Consider the following 15,938-nt stretch of genomic DNA (forward strand, 5'->3'; position numbering starts at 1 on the left):
TAAACAAATATTACTTATTGATGATTTTTAGTTGCTGCCTATGCCATGGTAAATAGTTCATTTATGAAATCTCAGGGCAACTCTTTGTTTTCCAAATAAAAAGGTCGAAGCTGTGAGAAGTGACTTGCTCAAGATTGTACAGCCAGTAGTTGATAGAGCCAGGACTAGAATCCTGACCTAATTTACCCCGAAGCTCATTAGCAACCTCTATCCATACTGCCTGTGAGGGAGCTAGCAGATGCATCCAGCCTGGGATTCTCTATTTCTGAGATCTCTTTAAATATTTCAAAGACCAGTATTTCCAGTTAGGAATAACATAGCTGCACAGTTTATGGGTTAATAAGTGTGTTATTAGGAGCTGGGGGCTTCAGCCAGGAAAACAGTCTTTTTAAAGCATTTACAGTCTAGAGGGAAGAGGAAGAAATGATACATTGTGATTTGGGTGAGACACAGGATTGAGTGGTCTCTAACTGGCTTTGGTGTTAGACACACACGTGTTTGAATTCTGGCTTCCCCTCTTTTCAGCTATCTGAATGTCGCCTTGCATCAGTCCTATCATCTGTCTGAGCCTCAGTTTCCTCATTTGTAAATTGGGGACAATACATCCACCTTGCAGGGCTGTTGAAAGGACTGGAAATAGTGTATGTAATGTACCTCCTATGGATTTAAGATAGGTGCTCAAAAATGGCAGTTATTTTTTTAAAGCCTGATTCTGCATTGGAACCAGTTCTCAAGAGCCAATTCTGATGAGTGTCTTCACAGCAGGACCTAAGCCCTGATGAATTAATTTGTCTGAAACCAACATTTTCTCTTCATTTCATCTTGATATGCTAATTTTGGGGGGTCAATAATTCAATGGTTACCAATTAAGCAAGGATGGTATTTGCTATTCTGTTCTATATAGTTGTGTACATTATCAGTATCCAAATAGTTATCAAGCTTTGACTATCGGAAAGTCCATTTGGTCTCTTAAAAGATGCACTGAATCTCTTCAATTCCTTTTTCATTTTGATTCAATAAAATGGTTCACTCTAGAAAAGCTGTGTAGACATAGTTCAAGTCAGAAATTTGCAATATGTTATAAATAACTATTGAGCCAAACTACCTGAATTTGAAGGACATTTTTATGGGGATACACTATAGCAATGAAATAATGAAATATATACATATATACACATATGATTATCATTACATGTGATAGATATACATATGTATATACTTAATCTATTTAAAAGATTATACTATAATATAAATATCTTAAAGTATATTTAGATAAAAATAACATAATAAAAACTATCAGATAATAAAATTTTTAATACCTGCAAGGAGTTTCTTCAACTGACAGTTTGTTTTCATTTTTTATTTGAGATGAAGTCTCACTCTGTCACACAGGCTGGAGTGCAATGGCGAGATCTCAGCTCACTGCAACCTCTGCCTCCCAGGTTTAAGCGATTCTCCTGCCTCAGCTTCCCAAGTAGCTGGGACTATAGGCACGTGCCACCATGCCTAGCTAATTTTTGTATTTTTTCAGTAGAGACGGGGTTTTGCCATGTTGGCCACGCTGGTCTCGAAATCCTCAGGTGATCCACCTGCCTCGGCCTCCCAAAGTGCTGGAATTACAGGCGTGAGCCACAGCGCCCGGCCTGTTTTCATCTTTTATATATGCTAGTGACTTATTTTCTATAAGCTTTCTATTTTGAATCTTTTTTTAGTAGGAATTAGTTTGTAATGAGCCATCTATACCAGTATTATTTTCAGAATATTGACCAGAACTTGGGGATACACACTGATGTTGAAAAAGGGATCTAACTCCCAACTTTTAGTCAAACTATAGTTTGTTCAAATGCCACACCTTTTTTTTTTTCTTTTTTAAGACAGTGTCTCACTCTGTATCCCACGCTGGAGTGCGGTGCTGCAATTACAGCTCACAGTAGCCTCGACTCAAGTGGGCTCAAGCGGCCCTCCCACCTCTGCCTGTCAAGTAGCTGGGACCACAGTCATGCACCACAATGCCTGGCTAATATTTTTGATTTTTTGTAGTGGTGAGGTCTCACCATTTTGCTCAGGCTGGTTTCAAACTCCTAAACTCAAGCAGTCCTCCCGCCTTGGCCTCCCAAAGTGCTGGGATTACAGGCCTGTGGCACCACACCCAGCCTCAAATGTCACATCTTTAACAAAATTTTCACCATGCTCTCCTCCAATTACTCATGCTCAGAACTGTGTGAAGCCTTTATCACAATTTATCATATTTAATTGATTTTGAATATTTAACTGGAATTCAGTGTAGAATGGTGTTTTTGAATTAAAATATAATTCACATACAATAAAATTCACCTTTTAAAGTATACGAGTTGGCTGTATGCAGTGGCTCACACCTGTAATCCCAGCACTTTGGGAGGCCAAGGTGGGCAGATCACTTCAGCTCAGGAGTTCAAGACCAGCCTGGCCAACATGGCAAAACCCCGTCTTTACCAAAAATATAAAAAATTAGCTGGATGTGGTGGCGGAGGCCTGTGGGAGCTACTTGGGAGGCTGAAGTGTGAGGATCGCTTGAGCCTGGGAGGCGGAGGTTGCAGTGAGCTGATATCATGCCACTGCACTCCAGCCTGGGTGACAGAGTGACACTCCCTCTCAAAATAAGTAAATAAATAAATAAATAGTATAGAATTCAATGGGTTTTAGTATATTCACAAAGTTGTGCAACCATCAGCGCCAATTCCAGAACATTTTTATCATCCAAAAAGACATTCCATATCCATCAGCAGTCACTTCCAATTCCTCATTCCCCTCTACCTCCTGGAAACCACTGTTCTACTTTCTGTCTGTATGTATTTGCCTGAAATGCAATGCAATTTCATCATATTTCATGTAAATGGAATCATACAACAGGCGGCCTTTTTGTATGTGGCTTTTTATGTCTGAACAATATTTCATTGTACAGTTATACCATGTTTCTTTTTTTTTTGAGACGGAGTCTCGCTCTGTTGCCCAGGCTGGAGTGCAGTGGCGCGATCTCTGCTCACTGCAAGCTCTGCCTCCGGGGTTCACGCCATTCTCCTGCCACAGCCTCCCGAGTAGCTGGGACTACAGGCGCCCGCCACCACGCCGGGCTATTTGTTTTTAGTAGAGACAGGGTTTCACCGTGTGAGCCAGGATGGTCTTGATCTCCTGACCTCGTGATCCGCCCGTCTAGGCCTCCCAAAGTGCTGGGATTACAGGTTTGGGCCACCGCGCCCGGCCTATACCATGCTTCTTAACCATGCATCAGCTGATGGTCATTGGGTTGTTACAATACTTTTTGGCTATTATGAATATTGCTGCTGTGAACATTTGTGCACATGTTTTTATGTGGATCCAATTATTTAGGCTTACAGTATTTAAGAGTGCTGCTTTGCTACTACGCTGACTGGGGTTAAGACCAGGCTCTGCTATTTAGTAGATGTGTGACCTTGGGCAAGTTACTTAACTTCTCTGTGCCTCAAGCTCATCTACAAACAGTGACTATGTTACCCACCTCCTAGCAATTTTTGAATCTTAAAAGAGTTAACGTACCTGACATACTTAGATCCGGGTTTGCTACATGGTTAGGTCCAAGTAAAATTTATCTATTAGTATTATTTTAATATTTTTACGACTTTAATAAAAGGGCTCATCTTCATTGTGCCTTTGAAACCCCAAATCCAAAACTTTTTTTTTTGTTAATTAGAAAAACTAAATAAATATTCAGAATTGTCTGGTATTCTGGGTGTGCTAATTTCAGACAAGCACATTTTGAGATCGAGGGAGACGTGGTTAAGCTGTAAATTGCAAAGAGGCTTGCCTTCGCCAATTTACCTTTCTTAATGCAGCAACTTATAACACCTATTGGCTTGCAACGGTTTAGTATAATTTGGGAGGTATTCTTGTAATTAATAATATATTATTTAATAACATGGATATAGAGCTGAGTGGTGACTTAAGACTCCTGCTACTGTAAAGCTAGGAAATAGCGGCTTTCCACAGCAACTGTGCAATCGGTTTAGGCGCGGCCCAGGTCGATTTTGATTGGCTTGCCCAGTGGAAATGCTCTCCGCCTGAGCTACTACTGGCCAATATGGCTCCACAATTGGCTCTCCTGGAAGCCGACAGACACGTGGCTACCGCAGGCTGAGCCGAACTTGGGAGGACTTAGTTCTGCTTACCGCGAGAGGGCGCCGGCGGTTCCTCACTGCTAAAATCTCATTTCCCATAAAGCCCCCGAGTCACCAATCAACTGGCTGTCTTCATACCGCTTTCAAAGTCGGCGGGCGCCTTGCCCAATAGCAAAGAACATATCGCCCCCATTTCGAAGATTGATGGAAAGTTTGACCAACCGCATCTCAGACTTCTGCTGTCTCCGCCTCTCTCGTTGGGGATTGACGATTTTTCTAGCCAATAGGAGACGTCGGGTCGGCGGGTGGATGAACGCGGCCCTCTGTAATGGCGGAGCGTGGCGGGGACGGGGGCGAGAGTGAACGATTCAACCCGGGGGAGCTCAGGTAAGGAACGCTGCCCTCCTTCACATCTCTGCTCACGAGAGCCCCAGAGGCTAGACGCTAGACCTGCCATGTGGAGATCCGGGGCGGACGGTGGGTAGCGGAGCCGGGCGGCCCGGGCCGGGACCGCATGGGGTTTAAGAAGGGGGAAGGGGAAGGTGGCTTGAATGAGAGCCGGGCCCGGGCTGGGCCAGGGCCTCCTGCGCGTTCCCTGGCTGCTTCCTAGTGCTTTCTTGGGGCCTCGCCGCCTCTCGCGGCCTGCAGCCCTCTGGCCGGGCGCGGTGCTCCCGCCTTTGGGCCCCGCCTCAGCCGCGTGTCGCCTCCGTCTCGGCCGACCTGAGTCTGTCCCCAGGCCGCGCTCCGCTGCGGGCCTGATTTTCCTCATCGACGTCTCTGCACTCCGCAGTTACTTTCCCTGTACCCCTCGCCACTTCTGGCTAAGCCTTCTCCACGCCCTCCGCGGCTCTTTGGGCTCCCCACGTTTGCCCTTTCATTTCATCCCCCTCATTGCTTGCCTTTCTTAACTTCTGTGGCTTTTCTTCCTTTTTTCATCCCTTTATTCCTTATTATCCTGTAGTTGTGAGTAACAACAACAGTAGCAACCCCTTATTAGGCACTTACCGTGTGCCAGTAAACCCTTTACTTAGGTTTGTCTCATTTAATCCTCACAACCACCCTTTGGAGTAGTTGCTATTAACATTTTGCAGGCCACAGACCAGAGGGGTCTTCAGTTGTTACTCGCCCATCTTACAGGTGAGATAACAGCCTCGTGGAGGTTGAGTCAGTAGAATAAGATTGCATAGGCGGATTTGTGGCTCCAGGAAGTGGCTTGAACTCAGGCAGTCAGGTTTCAGAGCCTGCAATCCCAATTGGCGTTCTATTCGTCTACTACTCATGCCATTTCCTTGAACAGTGCAGTGACCTTTTTTTCCCCTGGAACCTCAGTGTCTATGAGTTTGTAATTAAAATTTGGTAAAATGAGAGTGACCTGGAGAAATCTTTTGGTCAGTGGTTTTTGAGGAAAAGAGGTATTATGCTTTATGTGTATTTGGTACTTTGGTTTTTTTCTGTATGGGAGAAATGGCATTTCAGATGTTCAGCTCCCATTCTGAATTGTGCTGTTGTCAACGTTTGAAAATGAAAAAGAGCAGGGTAGATTATGAAGACTCTGTTGATACTGTCTTGAACTTAAGATGAAATTGTGTAAGGAAATGGGTATTGTTATTCAAGGTTTTAGAAGAGGAAAATGCCTTTCAGATTCTGTATGGTCGCACACACAAATCTCCACTTTGGCAGAAATGAAATTTTGTTTTATTTCAGAGATGAATCTGAAATCCTTTAAACTCCATATGTATACAGTATTAATGAGTGATCAAGGTGAATTGTCAGCATCTTTAAATATTAGCGATGCCAAGTTTATTCCTGATTTCGATCTTAAAGGGAGGTTACTTAGCTAGTTTCAGATGGATTTATTAGGGAACATTCTTTTGCATTTTAGAAAGTATCTTTCTAAAGCTTTAAAAAAATCCAAATGGCTTTATTAATAGTCTAGACACTGTTGCACAACTGATTTGAATAGAGCTTTAATTTGCAAATGAATTTGCCCTGTTGCAAATATTTTATACCGTAGCCTCTTGGATTGGAAGTTGCTTGCAGAGCATACTGTACAGATCTTTATTTTAGCATTTCTCATGAAATTAGGTGTGTATGTGGCCTCTTTGATGGCAGAAGTTGGGGCTTAATTTTTGCATTATATTTGTAACCTGAATGTACTTCATGGTGTGTCTGTCATAACCGCCTGGCAAATGAGATGTTCTGTAGTTATGTTGTAAATAAATGAAGATAGGAGATTTAAAGATACTTCACTTATTGGGCCGACATTTATTGTGTGCTACATGACAGTTGCTGACCTAGGTGCTGGTAATAGTGCCCTGAACCAGACCGAAAAAAGAGGTTTGTCCTGCAGGAGCTTCCAGCTTAAGTAAGAGCCATCTAAATTGTAAATGAAATCAACCACATCAAATGATTAAATCTGCCTGTAAGTGTGAAGTGACTTACACAAGGTCACTGGGTAGTTGGCAGGGTCTGGACTAAACCTCAGGTCTCCTCAATCATAGTTTATACAATTTGCCCCCATATATCGGTAGCATCTTTTTATTTCTTGCCCCTCCAGTTAAAGTATTGTCTTTAGCATTGGGGAGATTGCATATCTGGATAGAGAACTTCTATTGTAGAAAAATACCTTATGTTTGTATTTCCATGATGTTCTTGTGAAATATTTTTGTTCCTTCTATTCATGCAAGTAGGCTTTTGTTTTTCAGAAAGGTTGTAAGTGGTAGGAATGCAAATCACAATAGATGGAAAATTTATAGACGTTCCAAATACCATTAAAGTAACTTCCAGAGTCATTTGTATAGATCCTTTCCCTAGAGCCTTTGTTTACCTATCAATACTTAAGATACTTGCAATCTAAATTTCCTTATCTATAAAATGAGAATAAGAATATTCTGGTGTTATCACTGACTAGCTGCCTTAAGAAAATATTTTTCTGTGCTATCATTTCCTCTGTAAAAATGGTGTCAAACTTACCTTATTGGGCTGTAGTGAGGATTAAGAGTTAATACGGATAATGTCTGTATAACCATGCTGGTATATAGGAACTTTACTATCATTATTAAAACAATAATGTGTTTTAATGTGTTGCAACAGTATACTAAAGGGAACTATATACTAGTGGCTAAAGATAATACAGAAGTAAATGGGAGATTTCTTCATAGCATTTATCATAATCGAAAACTCAAATTAGGAATAATGATCCTGAGAGGGCCTGTAGAGGCCAGAAGTGGGAAAACAGTTTGAGGTGACATTTGAACTAGAGGCTGAGTAATGAGAAGGAGCTAGTTATGTGAAAATCTGGGGAAGAACATGCTCGGCAAAGAGAACAGGTGCAGAGGCTTCAAAGTAATAAACTTGAAATATTTAAAGGAAAAGACTAGAATTTGTGGAAAGGTTAATGTGGGCCAGGTTATACAGGGCCTGATATAATAATTATAGTAATAATAGCTAACATTACTAATATTAATATTATTTAACACTTACCAGTACTATTACTGTCCTAATGTTACAGAAACAGTAATGATAGCTAATAACTTAGATAGCACTTACATACTAAGCACTATTCCAAGTACTTTATTAGCTCATTTAATCCTCATTGCAGGTTCTGGTGAGGTTGTTGTGATGAAGCAGTATAATATAAAGAGCCCAGCCCATGTTCTGTGCGTAATTAACATCAGAAAATGGCAACTTCAGGCTATTCAAAAAAGGAAATTATGTGAATTTTGTCACCATTTTAGTGGCAGACTTTTGAAAACCATAACAAATTAATAATGAAATGCCTTTTACAGATAAACACTGCTAGGTTTTGTGGGGGAATGAAAGTAATGATAGTTGAAGTAGTTTACTGTGTACCAGCTACCACCCTAAATGTTTCACCGGGATTATCTCATTGAACAGTGATATCAGATACCTTTTCTGTTCCTTACTCATTCACATCTGAGGAAACTCAAGGCTCAGAAATTATGTAACTAGCCTGACAACAAAAGACGGAGTCCTAACAGGGCTTTTTTATGGTTCTGGATCTTAAATGCTTAACTTCAAGCTGTAACCAGGAAGTATGAAATTGTACAGAAATGAATACTGTAGACTTTTTGAAAAAAGGAGAGGCAGATGGAAAGAAAATCTAAGAGTAGGGTACATTATTAACTCAAGCCTGAAACAGAGTGTCTTTCCTTGGTGATTATCTTTTTTTTGCCCTAAAAGTTTGGACATTCCTTCAGTAACAGTGGCCTGTGTCTTTTGGGGATGCATATAATTTGAAAAAGACCTTCTGATTATTTTGATGCGATCCATATTCCTTTTTTTTTTTTTTTTCTTTTAAGACAATGTCTTGCTCTGTCTCCCAGGCTGAAGTGCAGTGGTGTGATCTTGGCTTACTGCAGCCTCCACCTGTCAGGTTCCTCCTGTTCTCCTGCCTCAGCCTCTTGAGTAGCTGGGATTACAGGGAAGCACCACCACACCCGGCTAATTTCTGTATTTTTAGTAGAGTGGGGGTTTCACTATGTTGGCCAGGATGGTCTCGAATTTCTGACCTCAGGTGATCCACCTGCCTTGGCTTCCCAAAGTGCTAGGATTACAGGCGTGAGCCACCGGGGGGCGTCCGGCCCATATTCCTTTTTAACTCATATTTTCTAACCTTTGGATTGTAGGATCATTTGCAAATTTGATTAAATATACTTGGTGTAGTAGTTCTGGACTTGTTTACAGTCCTGGTTATACCAGGACTGTAAACAAGTCCAGAAGGCAAATTAGTTTTTTTTTTTTTTAATTTTTTAATTTTTTTGAGACTTGAGTCTCGCTCTCTTGCCCAGGCTGGAATGCGGTGGTGCAATATCGGCTCACTGCAACCTCTGCCTCCTGGGTTTGAGTGATTGTCATGCCTCAACCTCTCAAGTAGCTGGGGCTACAGGCATGCACCACCATGCTTGGCTGATTTTTGTATTTTTAATAGACTCAGGGTTTTGCTATGTTGGCCAGGCTGGTCTCGAACTCCTGGCTTCAAGTGATCTGCCCACCTCTGCCTCCCAAAGTGCTGAGATTACAGGCATGAGCCACTGCTCCTGGCCTAAATTGGTTCTTTATTAGGATTTTTTTGGTGTGTGTCAGAATTGAACGATGATGTGGTAAATTTAGAGAAAGTTCAAAGGGTAATCTATAAGCAGAGGGTTGAAAAATGTCAGAAAGTTGAAAGAGCCTGGTAACGAGAGACTATAAGAATGATTATTTTCAAATATATAAAGAATATAATTGTTAATTCCTCTCTTGAGGACAGAAATGTAGGTTTTTTATGTATAATGTAGATGTATAGTAGCTACTGGGAATACCATGATAGGTACTCAGTAAATGGGTGGAATTGTAAAAATAATTTTTTTAAGATCCTGCATACGCTACTTGTAAGGTAGTTTGGGTACTGTATCACCTAGGTATTCAGTGGTTCATGCAACAAATACTAATACTAATATTTATTGAGCCCTACTATGTACAGATCTATGTGCTAGGGATACAAGAGTGAACACAATTCCTACTCTGAAGGAGCATTTGCCTGTGTTTGAATCCTCTCTTTATTTTCTTTATTTATTTATTATTGAGACAGAGTTTTGCTCTATTGCCCAGGCTGGAGTGCAGTGGCACAATCTCGGCTCACTGCAACCTCCACTTCCCAGGCTCAAGCAATTCTTCTGCTTCCGCCTCCCAAGTAGCTGAGATTACAGGCGTGCACCACCATGCCCGGCTAATTTTTTTGTATTTTTAGTAGAGATGGGGTTTCACCATGTTGTCCAGGTTGATGTTGAACTCCTGACTTCAAATGATCTGCCTGCCTTGGCCACCAAAGTGCTGGGATTACAGGCGCGAGCCACCGTGGGCCACCTGAATCCTGGCTTTAGTACTGAACCAGTTGTGTGGCCTTGGACAAGTGACTTCTTTGCTTTAGTTCTTTATCTATAAACTGAGATTAATAGTATCCATCTCATTGGGTTGTTTTGATGATTAAAAGACTTAATTTTTGAAAAGAGCTTAGAGCAAGCACTGCCTGGCTCATAGTAAGCACTTTTAGGAGTTAATAATTCTCTTTACAAAAGCACTTGGGGGAAGAGATAGATAATACTATCTCATGTGATATTACTTATTTGCTTAAATGCTGTGGAGAAAATACATTAGGGTGTTGAGAGTGAGGGGTGGTGGGGCAGTGTGCCCTACAGGGAAAGGCTTTCCCTTTAGGTAGAGACTACTAATGATCTGCCAAGTGACCCCCCTGCCCCCTTTAAAAACTTTGGAAGTAATTTCAAATTTACAAAATGTCGCAAAAATAAAGCTAGGGTGTTATTCAATGTTAATATTTTACCTCTTCTGCTTTACTATTTGCGTGCACACGTGCATCCTCTTTGTTATTCTGAACTGTGAGGGTAAGGTATACCTATGGCTTTTTACCCTTCAATACTTCAGTATTTTCTAAGAATAGAGATATTATTTTACTTAACTACAGCCTAATTATCAACTTCATAAATTTGTAATGATATAATACTTTAATCTGTTGTGCATATTCCAGTGTTGTCAGTTGATCTGGCAATGCCCTGTATGGCATTTCCTCCTGTTAGTACAGAATCCAATCTAGAGTTAAAATTGTGTTGTTATTGGCCGAGCGTGGTGGCTCACGCATGTAATCCCAGTACTTTGGGAGGCTGAGGTGTGCAGATCGCCTGAGGTCAGGAGTTCAAGACCAGCCTTGCCAACATGGCAAAACCCTGTCTCTAAAAAAAAAAAAAAAAATTGTGTTGTTATGACTCTTTAACCTTTTTTAATCTGGAGCATTTCCACAACATTTCTTTGTCTTTTATGGATAACATTGACATATCTGAAGAATACACATCCCCCTTTTAATAGAACATTCCTTCCGGCCAGGCGCTGTGGCTCATGCCTATAATCCTAGCACTTTGGGAGGCCGAGGAGGGCAGATCATGCGGTCAGGAGATCAAGACCATTGCCAACATGGTGAAACCCCATCTCTACTCAAATACAAAAAAAAAAAAAAAAAAAAAAAATTAGCCGGGCATGGTGGCGCATGCCTGTAGTCCCAGCTACTTGGGAGAAGAATCGCCTGAACCCGGGAGGCGGAGGTTGCAGTGAGCCGAGATCATGCCACTGTACTCCAGCCTGGCAAGAGAGTGAGACTTGGTCTCAAAAAAAAAAAAGAAAAGAAAAGAAAGAACATTCCTTCCTTATTCTGAGTTTGTCTGATACTTTCCTCGTTGTTAGATTGAGGTTATACATTTTTGGTCGGAATAGGTGATGTCGTGTCTCTCTCAGTCACACATTATCTATCTGTCCTTCTTAGATGATAATTAGTTTTGATCACGGGGTCAAGGTATTGCCTAATTTCCTTATTACGTAGATTATGTAGAGTGTTTTTTTTTTCATCCTTTCTTGCAACTTTAAGCAGCATGTGGGTAAATACTTTAAGACCATCAGATAACCCTCTTGTCTAAATTTTTGCCTAGACTCGGCATCCATTGATCATTCATCCAAAACTAGATCATCCATTGATGTAAGTTTTTTTTTTTGTTTTTTTGGTTGTTTGTTTGTTTGTTTGTTTTTTGAGATGGAGCCTTGCTCTGTTGCCCAGGCAGGAGTGCAGTGGCTTGATCTTGGCTCATTGCAACCTCTGCCTTGCGGGTTCAAGTGATTCTCCTGCCTCAGCCTCCCCAATAGCAGGACTTACAGGCGTGCGCCTCCATACCTGGCTGATTTTTGTATTTTTAGTAGAGATGGGGTTTCACCATGTTGTCGAGGTTGGTCTCAAACTCCTGACCTCAGGTGATCCACCTGCCTTGACCTCCCAAAGTGCTGGGATTACAGATGTGAGCCACTGCACCCGGCCCATTGATGTAGTTTTTATCATGACGGTTGCAAAATGATGACTTTCCAACTCCACTTAGACTTAAGAACCTTTTAAATTTGATGGATGTAATTAGAGATCAGTAGCTACATTTTTGTAATTTTAAGAAAGAAAAATTTATTCCTTGCTTTCCCATGCAGGATGGCCCAACAGCAGGCCTTGAGGTTCCGAGGTCCGGCTCCCCCACCAAATGCAGTGATGCGAGGCCCACCACCTCTGATGCGACCTCCTCCACCTTTTGGTATGATGCGAGGCCCTCCTCCACCACCACGGCCGCCCTTTGGACGTCCTCCTTTTGATCCTAATATGCCGCCAATGCCTCCTCCAGGAGGGATACCTCCACCTATGGGCCCTCCACACCTCCAGGTAAAGAATGTAGAGGTTGCCATTTCTTTGTTGGCATCATTATCAATATTATATATGGGTTTTGAGTTAAAAACTTACATTCTTAAATAGTTTCAGTTTATAGGAAAATGGGAGCTAAAGAGAAGATCCATATATTAATATGTTTCTTCTGAATTAGTGGTAGCAGTAATTACTATGGAAATTCAGAATAGGACTTTAGATGGTGATAGAGAAGTATGTGTATAAAACCAGGATTCAATAGTTTTTACCTACCTTTAGCTCTGTGAATTGGCTTTAGTAATGCATCTTCTTTATGGGAAATGAAGTTTGAAATTTTAAGATATTTTTGAGTGGAGAAAATTTATTTTCAATGATATATGTTGCCAGCAAGTCTAAAAATATATGTGTATATGTTCCTGAGTAAGTCTTCCTCCTGGAAATGGTGCCTAGGATAGAATCTGGAAAGTGACAGCAAACACATTTTATAAGCACATAGTTGAATTTTTTTTCTCCCCTGGGGGGAAAATAGGGTTATCTTACTCTTTTTGAAAACGATTTATTATGGGATTTCTTTAAATAAAAACATTTATGGTATTTTAACCTGGGGCATAGATCCTTCTCCAGTGTATCCAGACTTACTGTCTGAGGTGAGGTCATGAAGGTATGAACTCTCAAATGTCTCATTTTGGGATTGTATTCTTTTTGAGTATGTATCTATGTTTTCTTAGTTTAGTCTGTATAATTCTGAAACCAAATAAATATAGTGGTATCATCTGCCTTCCATTAGCTTAGACAGTGAAGAATGAATTATACTAAAAATGGAAGAAGACAATGATGTGCCATTTAAGTGATGTTAATTCTGTTTAGGTAGGGTTGTGGTTATGGAAGAGACAGGTTTTAATACTTTGCTTAATAATTTTATGGCCTTCCTAATAACGAATAGCCTCTCCTTCCTTTAAACACACTGTTAAATGGTTTTATATTTGCTTCAAGGTTAGAATAAGAAATAGTTTTTTTAACTTATTCTGGTATAATCTTTAACGTGAATTTGTTCTAATTTGTGACTTTAAGAGTTAAACCTACTTTGGAGTATTATAAAATGTAATGGACTAATGTAACCCTCTCATTGAAATATATCAAATGTTGTGCTAAGATACTTTCTAATGTTGTCATGCCTTTCTTGGTCTTGGATAATTGTTTGGCTTTATATTAAGTCCAAGTGATTTTCAGCCAAGGGCTCATGAAACGTATTTGGGATAGATATTTTATATAACCTAGATCTGGTGTGCTGACGCTTGAAAGATACTCAACTGAATCCAGCAAAGATTGGAGTATGGGAAAGACATTTTTAGGAAAATAAAGTACAACTTCACACTATTAGCATAGTTTGAGTTCCATTATCCAGATTAAGCTGCTTTTGATAATTGAATTTTAATGTTACTTACAGCTTATAGAGGAAATCTTTTAAATCCCTGCTCAAAATGTTTTTATAATGTCATAATGTCAAATTTTTAATTTTGAAACTCATTTTTATGCACAGTGAAAACTTTTTCTTGAAGGATTCTTCAAGAAGCTGTGGAGACAGTGATGTGCCTGGTATTAAAACAGGATATAAAAATCAATTTTTTAAAAAAAGTAATCCAGCGCCCTGTGTGTGAAAATCAGATCATGTAGAAAGGAGAAAGCAGAATTCACTGACAGTGTTATAACCCAGAGTTGACCACTATTAGTAGTTTGATGTGTTTCTTTCTAGTTTGTTTGGTAATTTTTGTTGCAGACATTTTGCTTCTATGACAGGTGAATGTGTTTGAATAGACTATAAAACTAGTTTCTCTTACAGTGTTTTACTTTTGAATAGAATTCAGTAATAATTTGGAGGAAAAGTAATTAAAGTGACCATTACTGTTTTTGTGAATTAACAGAGACCACCTTTCATGCCTCCTCCCATGAGTTCCATGCCTCCTCCTCCGGGTATGATGTTTCCACCAGGAATGCCTCCTGTGACTGCTCCTGGTACTCCAGCACTACCTCCTACGGAGGAGATATGGGTTGAAAATAAAACTCCAGATGGGAAGGTAAATAATAAAATATATTTAAGTTGTCATTTGTTGACAGAGGAGTAAAACTTAAAGAGTTCTGGCAGATTGAGGTCAGTGATACTGTCATTTAAGAATGAGCCCTGGGTGAGCAGGGAATGGGGTAAGACTTCAGGAGAAGCTGACTGGATTTAGTTTTTGTGCAGCAGATATAAGGTTGCCTGGAGTGCTAACACACATTTACCTGTGATTCTGGAAGCTTCTGGTCACATTGGTACCATCTGCCTAGCACATACCAAATTCCAGGCTCCTAGAAGGAAAGCAGGTGTTCAGCGTAGCTGGTTTAGGCACATCGAGCCATTCTTATCAGTAAGGGAATGTCAACCCTCCTGAAATCCAAGTTCTTGGACTCCAGATAAGGGTCAGCAGGGCTTTCTACAGATAGCTGTCTCAGGTCTGTTATGTTGAATTTCTGCATAAAACATAACATGGGTTTTCCTTTGTGCTCATTATAGAAAATTGGGCTGTGGGGTGGAATTACCTATTTTTGTTGTTTTGTTTTTGTTTTTTGAGATGGAAGTTTCACCCTGTCGCCCAGGCTAGAGAGCAGTAGTGCAATGTTGGTTCACTGCAACCTCTGCCTCCTGGATTCAAGCAATTCTCCTGCCTCAGCCTCCTGAGTAGCTGGAGTTACAGGCACCTGCCATCATGCTCGGCTAATTTTTGTATTTTTAATAGAGACAGGGTTTCACCATGTTGGCCAGGCTGGTCTCGAACTCTTGACCTCAGGTAATCCCACCCGCCTTGGCCTCCCATAGTGCTGGGATTACAGGCGTGAGCCACTGTGCCTGGCCCTAAGTTATTTTATTTTATTTTATTTTTTATTTTTTTATTTTTGAGATGGAGTCTCGTGCTGTCACCCAGCCTGGAGTGCAGTGGTGCGATCTTTGGTTCACTGCAACCTCCGCCTCCCGGGTTCAAGTGATTCTCCTTCCTCAGCCTCCCAAGTAGCTGGGATTACAGGCGCCTGCCATCACGTCTAGCTAAATTTTTGTATTTTTAGTAGAGACAGGGTTTTACCATGTTGGCCAGGTTGGTCTCAAACTCCTGACCTCAGGTGATCTGCTCACTTCAGCCTCCCAAAGTGCTGGGATTACAGGTGTGAGCCACCGCGCCCAGCTATTTTTTATTTTTGAGATGGAGTCTCCCTCTGTCACCCAGGCTGGAGTGCAGTGGTATGATCTCGGCGCACTGCAGCCTCCACTTCCTGGGTTCAAGTGATTGTTTTGCCTCAGCCTCCCGAGTAGCTGGGATTACAGATGCCGGCCACCACACCTGGCTAATTTTTTTATATTTTTAGTAGAGATGGGGTTTCACCATTTTGGCCAGGCTGGTTGGTCTTGAACTCCTGACTTTAAGTGATCCACCTGCCTCTGCCTCCCAAAGTGCTGGGATTACAGGAATGAGCCACCACGCCTGGCCCTACGTTATTTTTAAATAGCTTTAAAGATAAAATATGGTTCCATTCTTGTT

General features: G+C 41.0%; 1 protein-coding gene across 76 annotated transcripts in view, besides 2 other annotated features; it reads left to right on the plus strand.

Moving 5' to 3' along the window:
* Window positions 4,105-4,812: an enhancer, noted in NCBI's record as "NANOG-H3K27ac-H3K4me1 hESC enhancer chr5:145826559-145827266 (GRCh37/hg19 assembly coordinates)". NCBI's record gives its function as "activates a minimal SCP1, AML or CMV promoter by ChIP-STARR-seq in primed H9 embryonic stem cells {active_cell/tissue: H9 hESC(primed)}" and the evidence as "EXISTENCE:reporter gene assay evidence [ECO:0000049][PMID:30033119]".
* TCERG1 (transcription elongation regulator 1) overlaps window positions 4,439-15,938 on the plus strand; it is a 64,632-nt gene continuing 53,132 nt past the window's right edge. For 63 of the 76 annotated variants that reach the window (NR_174451.1, NR_174417.1, NR_174415.1 and 60 more), the window contains exons 1-3: window positions 4,442-4,517; window positions 12,165-12,390; window positions 14,292-14,444. Coding sequence is in view for 23 of the 76 variants with exons in the window: in NM_001382548.1 (NP_001369477.1) it covers window positions 4,459-4,517; window positions 12,165-12,390; window positions 14,292-14,444 (438 nt within the window). In the remaining 53 variants the exon portion in view is untranslated. Of the gene's footprint in view, window positions 4,608-11,626; window positions 11,674-12,164; window positions 12,391-14,291; window positions 14,445-15,938 lie in introns of all 76 variants that reach the window. The other 13 variants (NR_174407.1, NR_174406.1, XR_001741983.3 and 10 more) reach the window with 3 other exon arrangements.
* Window positions 4,731-4,810: a silencer, noted in NCBI's record as "silent region_16488". NCBI's record gives its function as "represses an Ori minimal core promoter by ATAC-STARR-seq in GM12878 lymphoblastoid cells {active_cell/tissue: GM12878}" and the evidence as "EXISTENCE:reporter gene assay evidence [ECO:0000049][PMID:35858748]".

The sequence above is a fragment of the Homo sapiens genome, chromosome 5 (genome assembly GCF_000001405.40).
Source record: "Homo sapiens chromosome 5, GRCh38.p14 Primary Assembly".
NCBI lineage: Eukaryota > Metazoa > Chordata > Mammalia > Primates > Hominidae > Homo > Homo sapiens.